This window comes from Homo sapiens, chromosome 14, assembly GCF_000001405.40.
Source record: "Homo sapiens chromosome 14, GRCh38.p14 Primary Assembly".
Taxonomy (NCBI): domain Eukaryota; kingdom Metazoa; phylum Chordata; class Mammalia; order Primates; family Hominidae; genus Homo; species Homo sapiens.
Genome location: NC_000014.9, coordinates 74,521,512 through 74,535,534, shown reverse-complemented (window position 1 = coordinate 74,535,534; position 14,023 = coordinate 74,521,512). Strand labels below are relative to the sequence as shown.

Genomic DNA, 14,023 nt, shown 5'->3' with positions numbered 1-14,023 from the left:
TGTTGGGGCCTCTGTGGGCTTTTCCCAACTGAAAACCTTTAGCTACTCAGGCTTCCCTCCCGCTTGCTTCAACCCATAGCCAGGAAAGGGGACGGGGAGCACGGGGGCTTCCTGCCTGGGACAGGCTCCTGGGGCTGGCAGAGGCCAGTGGGGAACAAGGTGGCTTCCCTGTGGGGAGCTTTGACAACTGGACAAACAGTTGTCTGTATGGTTTGCTTTGGGTGGAGCTGGGTCAGAGACAGGGGATTGACCCAGATGGCCTCCAAGGTGCCCTCCTCCTGGAGGTTGCTTCAGAGAGAGGAGTCTGGGGAAGCTCTGCATGGCTGGGCTGTCTTCCTTGGGGGTGCCAGGCTGCAGAAGTGATTCCTAGCCCGTGGATAAGCAAAGGTGCTGGGGCCAAGCAAAAGGGCAGGTCTCTGGCCCAGCCTAGTCCAGAGTCAGACTCCCTCAGGAGCCAGTGGTTTGAGGGCCAAGCAGACAGTGGATGTAGGGAGAAATACGTATTTTTGCCTTTGGAGGGTACATCGGGGCTGTTCATGTCTAAACAGTCACCAGTTGCTTTTCCTCCTGGTATGTTTCCCAATCTGGAGCTTTAAGGTTATACTCAGGATCTCAAATGGGCTCTCTGCCCTCCCTCTACTGAGCCCCAAGATTCAGGACACCAAAGGACCTTCCCTCAGGAGGCCCTGCCCCTGAAACCTCCCCTTCCCATGTATGTGGCTGTGGTCTCTGTGTCTGCGAAGGGACCTGCTCATCTCTGCACCCGCATGCGTCATCTCTCCTCTCTCTCCATCCTTCTCTCCTACTTCCACAGAGTATTGGAGGGGAGGTTACTATGGGCTACATACACTGTGCTAGGAGTACACAGTGATGGAGAAGACAGTCCTGCCCCAAGTGCAGACAGACCCCCTGAACAATCAGGTCTAATGAGCGGGGCATTCTTGAGAGAAAGCAGCAGTCCCTGAGTGCTACAGGATCCCATGGTGGGGGCGCCTTCCCAGACTGGAAGGATCAGGGAAGGCTCCCTGGAAAAGGTGATACCTAAGGCCAAGACTTTAAAAATGAGTACACGTTGGCCAACTAAGAGGATGCAAGCTCTCCAGGCAATGTGAACCCCATAAGCAAAAGAACAGTTTGTGCTGTCTGGAGTGTCCCAGAAAGTACTGTGTACGTGGCCTGTGTACACACGGGAGATGCCACATGTCTGCCAGTGTCTCATCAGAGCCACCTGTTTACCCACAGGCTTTGGGGAAAGGTAGAGGGCCTTGGATACCATGTTAGGGTTTAGAGCCTCCCTCTAAGAAGTGACAGGGAACCCAGAAGCAGAGGGAAGCAAGTCAGATTTGGGTATGGAGGCCCACATCCCACTGTGGCCACAGTCTGGATGCATATGGATCACTGCCCCTTCCCATTTCTCAGTAGCACCTTCCCAGCTCTTATTGGCACCCTGCCACAATGGGGCATCCTACCAAGGAGTAGTGCCCCTTGGTGCTCAGGCTGGGTCACCTTTCAGTCCCTCGTTCCTGTGCCCAGTGCCAATTTCCCCAAACCGGTGGGTGACCTGGCTCTGCAGACACAGGGCTGCCTGTGTTACCGCCTGGCCTGGAGGCAGGTGCCCCTCACAAGCAATTAATGCTTATCATCTCTGCTGCCATCACCACCATCAATAGAAGTGCCATCATCAAGATGGCCCCCGACTCCTCATATCTTAGATTGTGAGGGCTGAGACTTCCCCTTGGCAGGGAGAAGTTTGCAGCAGGAAAAGGGGGTTTCCCCCTTTGAGGTCACAGAAGAAACCAGTGCACCTCCCTTATTTGAAGAACAGCATGAGCCTCCACGGGTTTCCGGGGGGATGCGTGCAGCCTGCACAAGGAAGGGCGTTCAGGAGGACCCGAAGATGTGCCCTTCTGACCCTCAACCTTTGCACACTCTTAACTGTGACCCCTGCTGTCCCCTTCCCCTTCAGTGCCTTCCTCCAGCCTCTGCCTCCTTTTCCTTACCAGGGTCCTCCCTCCTCCAGCTCACTGCAGACATGCTCCCAGGGTCTTGGGGCCTGCAGAGGTGCTTCAGGGACCTCTGGAGGAAGGCTGAATAGGAGGGACTTGGCTGCCCCTTCTCCACCTTCCAACCCACACAGTCCCCCTGATCTGTTTCCTGTCTGCATCTCAACATGCCACTCTCCAGCTGAATGACTCTGTGCCCAGTGCCAATTTCCCCAAACCAGTGGGTGACCTGGCTATTCCTGGGACCTCAGTTTCTTCTCCTGTAAAATGAGGACATGTGGGCCTATTTGATAAAATTGTTTGTGAGAATTAAATGGGGTATTATATGTTAATACCCAGCAGAGTACGTAGCATGTAATAGGTGCTCAATAAACACTAGCGCTTGAGGCCTGGCAAGGCAGCTCATGCTTGTAATCTCAGCACTTCGGGAGGCCAAGGCAGGCAGATTGCTTGAGGCCCAGAGTTTGAGACCAGCCATGGGCAACATGGTGAAAACACATCTCTACAAAAAATACAGTACAAAAATTAGCTGGATGTGGTGGTATGCACCTGTCGTTCCAGCTACTCGGGAGGCTGAGGCATGAGAATTGCTTGAACCTGGGAGGCGGAGACTGCAGTGAGCTGAGATCACACCCCTGCACTCCAGCCTGGGTGGCAAAACGAGACTCTGTCTCAAAAAATAGATAAATAAATAAATAAACATTAGCTCTTAATATTATGATCATTGTTACATGCCACTTATTGGACAAAGTGGTTTGCAATTTGATCTTATCCATTTAACAACACCATCTGGTTGTTACTATCATTATCCTCATTTTACAAATGAGGAAACTGAGGCACAGGGAGAGGAATCCCACTGAATACATAGCAGCTCTTTTGTTGTTGTTTTATCTGGAGAGAGTATTTGAAGATCTCTGCCCAGCCCCTCTGCTCCATCAGGCCTCCGTGGGGCGGGCACTTGGTCATCTCCTCCAACCCTGCAGATATCAACGAGTGCTTGACCCTGGGCCTGTGCAAGGACGCGGAGTGTGTGAATACCAGGGGCAGCTACCTGTGCACATGCAGACCTGGCCTCATGCTGGATCCATCGCGGAGCCGCTGTGTGTGTGAGTGCTGGCAGGGATGGGGTGGGGGTGGACAGTGGGAGACAAGATGGGACACTTCAGGTCCACAGGCCAGGCCCAGGGCAGCAATTTTCCCCAGACCTGATCACGCCATGCTCAGGGCCTGTGTCGGCTATTCAACCTGGAGTTGGGCCCAATGTGAAAAACCTGATCAGCCCATCCTGCTGGAACAGAGATGGTTACTACTTCACTTTTTACACTAGGCATTTTTTCCGGGCCTTTGCAGTTTGGAATTCGTCTTTTCTATTTCTTATTTTTTTTCCTTTCTAATCATTTCTGTTCCATGTGTAGCCTCGTTTTCTTTGGTGGCGGGAGGTGGTGGGGGTGGCCTCTGCTCTGATGTCTGGCTGAGCCTTGGCTGCTGAGTGACCTTTCCAGAAGGGCTGTCCATAGCATTCATGGAGCTGCTGCCCGACCCGAGGGCCTTTCCACAATCCTGTGGCCCCTTGTGGTTCTGAAGTTTCTCCTTATCTGTGAACACATAGTGGGCATTAGCATTGTGTCCAGGTATGTACATGCATGTATGCCAGGCAGCCCTGTTTCCAGAGACCTCTGTGGTTTCCAGGGTGAGAGGCCCAGGCTGGCAGCAGCCCCCAATGGCAGAACTGACACCACAGCCCAGATAGGGCTTTCCCTGGGCCGGGAGGCCTGACCAGAGCTGAATAAAACCAGTCCCAACTGGCCTCTGGGAGGCAGCAGCCGAGGTTGGATGGGCCACGCCCAGCTCAGCAGAGCTCCCTGCAACCGGCCAAGCCCTCAGTCTGCAAACTTTCTGGTACTGGGTTTGGGAGGGCCATGGGATTGGACAAGACTCCAGTGCCACCCAGAGGCTGAACCCAGTGGCTCTAGGGAGAGAAGACAGCAAGAGCTATAGGAGGGGGGTGCCCAGAGAGTGAGGGGCCCAGAGTGGGGAGAACATGTCAGACCGCTCTCAAGAAACCTTCATGGTGGCAGTGGCAGGTGATCAAGGCCTTGAGAGGCTTACACCCTTCCTTCTACTCCACATCACTTAAGATCCCTTTACCAGAGAGGTGTGTTTGACATCCAAGGTGACTTATTTATTAGTCCCAGAAAGAGACCCTTAATACAGGGAAGCAGAGATGGCTCTCGAGTGTCCTTTTTTCCCTCTCTGTCCCTGGTGTTACTCCCTCCAGCCTCCTACAGTGATTCACCTCCCTGTAAGTGGGAGGGGTGGCACGAAGTTTCTCTTCCCTTTGTTTCTGAGTTCTGCCTCCTTCCCTCCCTGCCGCCTGACCAGGTCCAGTGGGGCAGTCTACAGGGCTGCCCCAGCCTCCTGATATTCCCACCTGGGTCATCTCCACCCTGGGGTTCAAAGGGACAGAGCCCTTCCTTACAGTGTCCCAATGGAAGTGGCTGCTAGAAGCAGAGTTTGCACCTGGAGATCCAGGGCTCACAGACGGCTGATGATTTACCTGTGGCGGGCACATGACCTTTAACAAGCCACTCTCACACACCTCACTCTATTTAATCTCCACGACAATACCACGAAGAAAGTTTATTAATCGGGAGTCTTTGGATTGCAAGTGACAGAAACCAAACTCAAACTGCCTTAAGCAAAAAAGAATTCGCTGGGGCTGGGCCCCGTGCCTCTCACCTGTAATCCAAGCACTTTGGGAGGCTGAGGCAGGTGGACCACTTGAGTTCAGGAGTTTAAAACCAGCCTAGGCAACATGGTGAGACCCTGTCTTTACAAAAAATTAAAAATTAGCCAGGCGTGGTGGTGCACACCTGTAGTCCCAGCTACTTGAGAGGCTGAAGTGGAAGGATGGCTTGAGCCCCAGAGGCAAAGGTTGCAGTGAGCCGAGATCGTGCCACTATACTGCAGCCTGGGCAATAGACAAGACTCTTCTCAAGAAAAACCAAAAGCATTGGTTCACACAACTAGGAAGTGCAGACGTGGTATGGCCTCAGGCTGGCTGACCTAGGCAGCCACAGTGTCTGCAGGGCATGTCCTGCTCTTTCCTCTGTGTGAGTTTCATGGTTCCTTCAAAGGTGGTCACCAGATGCTCTAGGCCTACACCCTCTCAGCCTTGCAAACTCAATAAAAAATGAGCCCCTTTTCCCCAATAACCCAGGAATAATAGTCTCAAAGCTGATTATCATTGGGCCTCCTTGGTTAAGTGCCCATCCCTGACCCAATCACTGTAACCAGGGGTATGGACCACAAGCCTTCAGCCAGAAAGGCGTCAGCCTCCACTCCAGTCATATGGACCAAGGGTGGGAAAGGGTGGTTCCTGTAGGAGAACCAGAGTGATGATACGAGAATATGGTGCATAGACTCTGGGCAGGCAGAAATACAGGTGTCCCCTGCGATGGAATCATCATTCTCATCTTCATTTTACACGTGAAGAAGCTAAGGCCCAGGGAGGTCTGTAGTTCATGGTGGAGCAGGGATTTGAACTTGGTCTGCTGCGTCCTGGGCCTGACCAGCACTTCCCCAGAATCATTCATTCCTAAACTTTGATTGATGTCCTCTTCAGCCCACTCTCCTCCTCTTAGAATCCAGTCAGCCCTCTACGGATTCCAGACTCTTCCAACCTGGCATGGCCTCCTCGTCTTCCATTGAGATAACATACAGAAACTATTCTTTAATATTTATTTTCAAAGTACAAGAAAGGAGATAAGGGTGGTGGCATTGCTATGACCTAAGCCCAGCATAGCTCAAACTCACAGTGACCCTCAGTATTTTGATTGGCTGGTTGATTCTGTGTTTGATTGGTTCATTGACCTAGCCATCCACGCATAGCTTCAACAAGCATTACTAAGCATTTGCATGCACCAGGCACTATGGGAGGTGCCTGGGTGACAGAGATGACCCAAGATAGGGTCCCTGTCCTCCGAGCTCCCCATCCGGCCTTAGCTCCTTACCTTGCCTCATCTTCCCAGGGAGGCTGTGGTCCTCAGGACATACTGCTGCCCGCTCAACCCTAGGGACACGTGGGGCCTTCAGTAAACACTTCTAAACTCGGCACTGGAGACAAGCAGCTGCATCCTCATTCCCTGCTCTCAGGTTCTCCACATGCAGGTGGGGAGTCACGAGTCTCATCAAGCACACAACATGGGCAGGTGCTGAAACATTCCACTACGCCTCTTCCTCCTAAAGTTCTTGTGAGCATTTGCAGGGCTCCAAACTTCCCAACTGAGATATGGGCCAGGCCAGTCTGAGTGCATGTGGCCAGCCACACCTCCATCCACTGCCCTCCCAGCTGCGCATTCCCCTCCCACTGGCCACCTGCCCACCTCCACGTGCTGTGTCTGTTGCAGCGGACAAGGCAATCTCCATGCTGCAGGGACTGTGCTACCGGTCGCTGGGGCCCGGCACCTGCACCCTGCCTTTGGCCCAGCGGATCACCAAGCAGATATGCTGCTGCAGCCGCGTGGGCAAAGCATGGGGCAGCGAGTGTGAGAAATGCCCTCTGCCTGGCACAGGTAACCTCCTGTTCCCATCCCAGCTTTCACTGCCCAGGGGCTCAAGGCCAGTGACCATGTTGCCAGGCCTGGGTAGACTTCCCTCAATCTGGAAGACTGAAGTAGCCTTCCCTGCCTGCTCACGTGCTTATCCCAACCTGGGGCTCCCTCCCTCCTTGCTGCCACAATTGCCGTGTCTCCCAAAGGGAGGGAAAGGAAGGCCCTGGTTTCCTGCAGGAACAGCACCTCTCAGTTTGTCCTCTGGCTGTTGGCTTTGCAGAGGCCTTCAGAGAGATCTGCCCTGCCGGCCACGGCTACACCTACGCGAGCTCCGACATCCGCCTGTCCATGAGGAAAGCCGAGGAGGAGGAACTGGCAAGGCCCCCAAGGGAGCAAGGGCAGAGGAGCAGCGGGGCACTGCCCGGGCCAGCAGAGAGGCAGCCCCTCCGGGTCGTCACGGACACCTGGCTTGAGGCCGGGACCATCCCTGACAAGGGTATCTGAGCTGGGGGAGATGCCTGAGGGATTTTCCTTTCCCCTAAGTTTCCAGCACCTCAGAGAAGTGTGGGTGTTAATCCTGGGTCCCTGGGCATCCCATCTCTGTGGCATTAGGAAAGGGAGCTTGGAGCAGCAGCACCCAACCCTGGCAGCCTTCTCTCATGGCCTGGCCCCACCCACTTCCTCTTCCATATGGGGTCAAGAGGTGCCCACGCCCCAGGGAGTTGCTTGTGGAGGTGGGAAAGATCAGCCGCAGCCCCCACCCCAGCGATCAGGCCTCTCCATCTCCTGCCCTCTGGCCATGCAGCTTCTGGGGCCGGTGCTTGCTGCAGGCCTGAATAGCTGGCAGGTGGGTCCTGGGGACCTGCATGTCAGACCCCTGGCCCGGCCTTGGAGTCAGAGTGCTAACTCCAGCTCAACGGCCTTGGACCCCAGAGGCACGGGGCTGGAGGGAGGCTGGGTATGAGGCTCTCCTTGCAAGTGCCCTGAAAACCATGGAGAAGTCATGCCCAGGTCACTGGTAACACTGAATGCAGGAGGCCTGGAACGTCATAGCGCCAGCAAACTATGTGATTGGTCAAACTGCTCCAGGAATCTGGAATAGACAGGGGAGTGAGGACAGAGCCCCAGTTGTTGTGGACACAGGACACCGGCCAAGCCAGGAGCAATTCCACTCCTTCCTCAAACTGTTCCCCTGGCCCAAAGCCCAGGGCAGGGGGCTGCATGACCCAGCCTGGCTGGGAGGCATGGGAGGGAGGAGGTAGCAGTGCAAGGAGGTGACTCCAGAATGGATGGGGTGGACAGGTCCGGGAGCAGGTGGGACTCCTGTCACCCGAGGCCTTACAGGAAAGCAGGGCCTTCCGCTTACCAAGTGAGAGGCTTCACTAAGCTATCTTCAGGCCCTCCAGACCTGGGGTTCTGGAATTTTGTGGTGGCCAGTCCCTACAGGGGTGATGGGGCAGAGGCAGGTAAGAAGAGTCCACGCTTTCTGTGCTGCTGGCCCTGCTGGGGATGTGGTCTGGGGCGCAGACTGTGAAGCCGCCCAGGTGGCGGTGAGGGGAGAAGGCAGCCAGACCCTCCTCCCTGAGCTCACGCTGTTACCTTTCCCTTCCAGGTGACTCTCAGGCTGGCCAGGTGAGTGCGTCCTCCCACTAGGGGGCCGGGCAAGCATGGCAGAGAGCAGGACCTGGTAGCAGCTCAGGCCCCAGGGCAGTGTCTCATGAGGGAGGGAGAGGGAGAAAGATGGAGTATCTGTTAGATTTTACTTGAAGAGATGACCAAGTGGGAGGATTGATCCAAAGACCCAGTTTTACCCTAAAGGAAGTGATAACAACAGCTCTTGTTTATGGAGCAGCCATTGTGCAAGCATTTTCCCATTTGGGATGGGCTGGGGCCCCTTCAGAAAGGAAGTAGGAACATGTCCTGTTAGGCCTGGCTGTCACTCAAGCTTTAAGCACTGCAGACGAGGTGTGGAGCTGCTTCCAGTTCATTCTGGGTCTGGCACTTTCTGCGCTGGTTTAGTTGAACCTCCAGGTCCCTCTGGGAGTGGTGTACAGGGAAGTGTGGGCACAGCTGTGAACAGCCTCAAACCACCTCACGGAGAAAGGTGCATCCAACTCCCTTCCCTGTGCCCAAGATTCCCCTGGGAAAACCTGGGTGTCGTCCCAGGAAAACATTCCAGAAGAGGGGATCTGCTTCTTCCCTCATCAGCCTCAGTCCCTACTCTGTCCCCTGCCCCTCCAGCCTGCATACCTGACTGTTCCCAAATACAGTTTCTTCCGGGTGCCTTGTTCTGTCCCTGGGCCACCATATGATGTCCCCCCAGGCCAAAGCTCTAACTCTGGTCCCCACAGACGCAGCCAGCCTCCAGGGCCTTTTTCACCCTCTGCCCACTCTTCTGCTGTTACATCCCCACCTCTCAGCAAATTCTGTCCACTGGCTATGTTGAGGGACACCAGGTATAACCTGTGGTCCCAGCTTCCCCACTCTGGCCCTGTGGCTCCAGGCACTCTAGTGAACCTCCAGAGCTTCTGTTACTGTGTTGAGATGCTAGGGTTATAGCTGACACCAAATTGCTGATTTTCTACCATGGACCCAACACTGAGCTGGCATAGTATGTATATCAGCTCATTTAATCATTTCAACCTCCCATCATAAGATAGTTGAGAAGGTTAATGAAGTGAGTGTGTGTAAAGTGCCTGGCAGAATGCCCAGCATAGAGTAAGAACTCATCAATACCTGGAATGAATGAAAACATGAATGAGCTCCTGGTAGGAAGCCCGGAGGTGGGGGTCAGTGTGGTGGAAGGTGGCACATCACAGGTACGGCAGAGGAGCCAAAAGTGACCTTCTCCTGTTTCTGTGCAGGTCACGACCAGTGTCACTCATGCACCTGCCTGGGTCACAGGTGAGTCCCTCTTCCTGGCGGCTCCTAGGCAAAAGAGAAGGGAGGGAAAGAGCCCTTAATCAGGAGTGGAGTTACTATGTGTGAGCTGGTTCACGCTCACACACACATCAGAGGAGGGTGAGAAGGACGTGGCCTGTGAGTGCTGTTTCTGGGAGCTCTCTATACACCTAAGGTGCTGTGAAGTCAGCGAGAGACCCCATGACGCTTCACAGATAGTTTTCTAGCCACAGAACTCTTTGCAAATTTCATGGCACCACTTAGCACATAAATCAGAACAAAGAGACAGCACTAGCTGAAACAGGTGTTTGGCTGGGTCGCTAGACTCTTTCCCCCAAGAGGTCTTGTCCTGAAACCACTACTTGCCTGTCACTGGTGTTGGGTTCAGACATTGGAAGGCTGAGCTCATGCTTCTTGTAAAACGGTAGAAGACACTGATGCCTGTCTTGCAGACTCTCAAAGCAAATAAGATGTTGGTATTTGTGGCAGAGCTCTGTAAGCTGTGAAATGCTTTGTAAGCAGAAGTGAAAGAATGTTGAAGTGGGAATTAGGAAACCCAGGTGTCAGCTGTGCCTCCGACAAGCTGACTGGCCTTGGACAAGTGACCATTTCTGCAAGCCTCAGTCTCCTGGCCCTGACATGGAGGATTAGACTGGATGTGCTCCAACGCCTGTTAGAGCTCTCAGATTCTCTAAGTGGGGCCAGATCAACTTTCAGGAGACTGGAAGGCATGGGAGTGACCCACCCCAGGCTTCACCCTTCGTTCTTGGGAGTCTGAGCACCAGGGAAGAGGGAAGGGCCATGGCCAGCCAAGGGGCCACAACCCCACCTCTTCCCCTCTCTCCTCCACAGGGAATGCCACAACCCCACCAATGCCTGAACAGGGGATTGCAGAGATACAGGAAGAACAAGTGACCCCCTCCACTGATGTGCTGGTGACCCTGAGCACCCCAGGTAGCTGCAGCCAGACCTTTGGGGCTCCCTGCACCCTGCCCTGTGAGCTGTGTCTGTCCAGAGCCAACTCCAGGGCAGGGGCATGAATGGAATGCCCCCTCACCTTTCCAACTAGGTAAAGTCCCCAGCAGGCTCCCAGCTGGGCTGTGCACCCCTGGCCTCATCTTACAAAGAACACAGGGTCCCTCTTGTGAAAACAAGAGCCCTGCCTGGAGCACTGCCCAAGCCCAGAAGGGGGAAGAGAAGGGACACCATGGGAGAAGGAAGCCAGGGGTCTTCCAGGAGAATCTGGGGGTCCCTCTCAAGGAAGGGGAGCATGGGGAGTGAGGGCCACTGGGATCCTGGCTCTTCCAGGCCACTCCCCTGAGTCAGCAGAGTGCCTGGCAGCGAGCAGCTGCCTGCCCACGGGGAGGGCTGATTTTCGGGAAGGAACATGGTTCTATTTCTCAAGGTTGTTTAACCAAGCCTGCATTCCTCTCCCTCTGGTCAGCTACAGTGATGGGGGCGAGGGGCGGGTGTGGGGGCGATCCTGGCAAATCCACCTTGCTCTGGAATGTGCCCTCCTTAAAGGCTCATTGTCTGGGGACTTGGTGCAGGAGAAGCAAGGCGGGTGTTGTTGCCGCTGCTCCCTGTACACGTGTGTGCCCGCTCCTGGGGCTCCTGCTCTCTTAACCTTACGACTGGGTCCAGAGACCCAGTCACCTTGTGTTGGGGGTGAGGGTGGTCAGGGGGTTCTGGATTTCCTTCAGCAAAGGGAAAGCCCCTGCGCCTGGTGGAACAGTCCAGAGAGTGGGGAGTAGGGGTCCAGCCTTCCCAGGCACACCCCACTGACCTCTCCTGGGACCTCTCTCCTCTGGGCTCAAAGCGCTGCTCCAGGGAGCATCCCCTTCTGGCCTCTGCTCAGCAGGCAGAGTGTGCAGAGGAGTGCTGAATTTCTGACAAGGAAAATGGACCTGGAGGAAGGGATGGGAAGCAGGGGGCAGGGGGCAGGGGGCAGGCCAAGCTCAGCAGCAGCTCTTGGCATGTGGATGAGTGTCCCCACCGCAACCCCAGCCTCAGCCTTTTGCCCTATCCCCCTTCTCCTCTGCCATTCTGTAACCTCACCCCTCTGGGCAGACATTTAGGACCCAGCTGAGGGCCCCCACAACCCCCAAGGCTGACACAAACTTAGAGCCAGGCCCGGGGAGAGGGTAGCCTTGGGTGCACATTCAATTCAGTACAATCTGGCAGACTGTTAAGCCCCACTGTATACCCACGTACAGACCATTCCCCAACCCATTCCCTTGGGTCTTCGGCTTCTCCCAAGCTATGGGGGCGGGGCAGGGACCCCTGAGCATGTGGGCTTCAGGCAAAGACTTCAGGGTGGACACAAATGCAGAAGCATCATTCATTCATTTATCCATTTGGCATGTTCTAAGTGCCAGGTACCTTTCTAGTATTAGGGATACCGTTCAGAAAGCTAAAGTCTCTGCTGTCTACACAGCCTCAACCCCGAGTCCCAGTGAGTCTGCCTCCAAACTATTTCTCAATTCTGTACCTGTCTCCCCACTTCTCACCCCATCACCACCACCCAAGGCAGACCCTCATTTAAATTATTTCAACAGGTTTTAAGGACCCACTATACCTCCCTTACCAGTTCATCCATCATCTCGTTGCCTGAGTGGCCTTTCTAGGACTGCTCTGACCCACCCCCACCTTTCACAAAATCCTTGTTACAGGCCAGTCTCAATGTGGCTTTCAAGGCTCTGCTCAGCTGACCCCAGTCCACCCCTCCCATTTTCCCCTGGCAGTTTTCCCCAAGCACCTTACTCACCAGGTCTGTCTGTCTGTCCAGGGAAAACTGGGCAGGAGTTGCAGGGAGGGATGGCGCTGGGCACTGGGTAGGAGTCAGGCCCATTTTCGGGGTGGGGCTAGGATGGAGGGGTTTTGCTGGAAATTTGCTGGAAATATGGGTTATCCATTAGATCTCGGTGAGGGGGATGCCCTACTATGACCTCCATCCTGGGTAGGGCTCGGGGTGCTGGGCAGAGGTCCCCTAGGGTCTTATGCAAGGCCAAGCTGTGCATGGGTATGGGAGGGAGGGCCTGGCTAAGGTTGGCCTTCTGAGGCCCCTAGACCCTGGCCACTGACTGTCCCCACCCCGCTCCACTGCCTTTGTCCAGCACCCACCCTGCCATAACCTCTGTTTTGCTCTGTCTCCCACAGGCATTGACAGATGCGCTGCTGGAGCCACCAACGTCTGTGGCCCTGGAACCTGCGTGAACCTCCCCGATGGATACAGATGTGTCTGCAGCCCTGGCTACCAGCTGCACCCCAGCCAGGCCTACTGCACAGGTATTCACTTGGGTGCCCTGGGCTTACTTGGCGGCTGGGGTAGATGGGAGCAGGGGCTAAGAGGCCGAGTTGAGAGTCCAGGAAGAAGCAGAAGGTCCAAGCAGTGCTGGGTGGTTGATGAGTTTAGGAGGAGCACAGTCCCTGTGGACTAAGCTAACTTTAACCTTCAGGGGAAGACCAGTCTCGGTGAGCCCCATCCGATGAGTCTCCAGGACTCCAGGAGCACAGAAGCCAGCCCATTGCATGCATCCTGGCCTGTGCCTGGCAGCCCTCTTCTCTGAGATCAGCCCACCCCTCAAACTGGCCATTTTGCTGCCTGGAGAGCACACCCAGGACTGCCCCAGTTGCAAATGTCTCCACCAGGGTCATCCGTAGGGGGAGGTCTGAGGCTAAGATAAATCATCAAGTGTGGACCTCATTCCTCCTCCCCCCAATATTTTCAAATAAGGGAGAAATATCCATTGTGGTTTCAAAGGAGAAAGGAATCATGAGGCTACTGGGGGAAGGAGTCGAGGGGCAGATAGGAGGGGCTGGCAGTCACGCCAGGCTTCTGGTGCCTGAGTGGGCCCACTGGGCTGACTTTATGGCTTCCAGCCTTAGAGATTTTCAGCCTCCTCCACTCCCTCACCCCTTCCTTGCCACACAGCACCATCCCCTGCCCAGCCCCTAGTGTGGGCAGGTTGCTGGTAGGTGCCCAAAGAACGGCACCGCTGGCCCCCCTGACCTCCCTCCCTGCCTTCTTCTGGTCAGATGACAACGAGTGTCTGAGGGACCCCTGCAAGGGAAAAGGGCGCTGCATCAACCGCGTGGGGTCCTACTCCTGCTTCTGCTACCCTGGCTACACTCTGGCCACCTCAGGGGCGACACAGGAGTGTCAAGGTAAGCCAAGCCCGCCCTTGCCCTTGGCCAGGCCCCACAGTCTTGAGGGGGTGGAAGAGGAACCAGGGGTTCACACCCCCAAACACCGTGCCGCAGAATGGGGAGTGGGCAGCTGAAGGAGTGAAGGAGGAGAGACCAGAACTCCAGCCTGGATCTGGGAGGAGGCTGATTCTATGCCAGTGGCAAGGAGGGGTAGAAATCCAAAAACCAGCAATCTCTGCAAAGGCCCTAAGGAATTGTGGGTGGAACCAAGAGTGTCACAGGGTCAGGAGACATGGCTGGAGATGAGGATTATGCAGCAGGCCCCCAAACTCCGAGTGACAAGGAGCTGGTTTCATGTCAGGGAAGGAGGGAGACCCATAAGGATGCCAGGCTGGGACTACTGGCAGACCTGGGAGT

At 55.1% G+C, this 14,023-nt stretch overlaps 1 protein-coding gene across 1 annotated transcript in view, besides 4 other annotated features; it reads left to right on the top strand.

The window, feature by feature from the left end:
* Positions 1-14,023, top strand: part of LTBP2 (latent transforming growth factor beta binding protein 2) — a 114,055-nt gene that overhangs the window by 76,703 nt on the left and 23,329 nt on the right. Inside the window, exons 10-17 of the mRNA NM_000428.3 lie at positions 2,987-3,109; positions 6,413-6,577; positions 6,837-7,052; positions 8,169-8,188; positions 9,421-9,460; positions 10,310-10,411; positions 12,617-12,745; positions 13,496-13,624. Of these exons, the coding sequence (NP_000419.1) occupies positions 2,987-3,109; positions 6,413-6,577; positions 6,837-7,052; positions 8,169-8,188; positions 9,421-9,460; positions 10,310-10,411; positions 12,617-12,745; positions 13,496-13,624 (924 nt within the window). The remainder of the gene's footprint in view (positions 1-2,986; positions 3,110-6,412; positions 6,578-6,836; positions 7,053-8,168; positions 8,189-9,420; positions 9,461-10,309; positions 10,412-12,616; positions 12,746-13,495; positions 13,625-14,023) is intronic.
* Positions 6,778-7,279: an enhancer, noted in NCBI's record as "H3K4me1 hESC enhancer chr14:74994959-74995460 (GRCh37/hg19 assembly coordinates)". NCBI's record gives its function as "activates a minimal SCP1, AML or CMV promoter by ChIP-STARR-seq in naive H9 embryonic stem cells {active_cell/tissue: H9 hESC(naive)}" and the evidence as "EXISTENCE:reporter gene assay evidence [ECO:0000049][PMID:30033119]".
* Positions 7,922-8,423: an enhancer, noted in NCBI's record as "H3K4me1 hESC enhancer chr14:74993815-74994316 (GRCh37/hg19 assembly coordinates)". NCBI's record gives its function as "activates a minimal SCP1, AML or CMV promoter by ChIP-STARR-seq in naive H9 embryonic stem cells {active_cell/tissue: H9 hESC(naive)}" and the evidence as "EXISTENCE:reporter gene assay evidence [ECO:0000049][PMID:30033119]".
* Positions 10,808-11,747: an enhancer, noted in NCBI's record as "H3K4me1 hESC enhancer chr14:74990491-74991430 (GRCh37/hg19 assembly coordinates)". NCBI's record gives its function as "activates a minimal SCP1, AML or CMV promoter by ChIP-STARR-seq in primed H9 embryonic stem cells {active_cell/tissue: H9 hESC(primed)}" and the evidence as "EXISTENCE:reporter gene assay evidence [ECO:0000049][PMID:30033119]".
* Positions 12,209-13,087: an enhancer, noted in NCBI's record as "H3K4me1 hESC enhancer chr14:74989151-74990029 (GRCh37/hg19 assembly coordinates)". NCBI's record gives its function as "activates a minimal SCP1, AML or CMV promoter by ChIP-STARR-seq in naive H9 embryonic stem cells {active_cell/tissue: H9 hESC(naive)}" and the evidence as "EXISTENCE:reporter gene assay evidence [ECO:0000049][PMID:30033119]".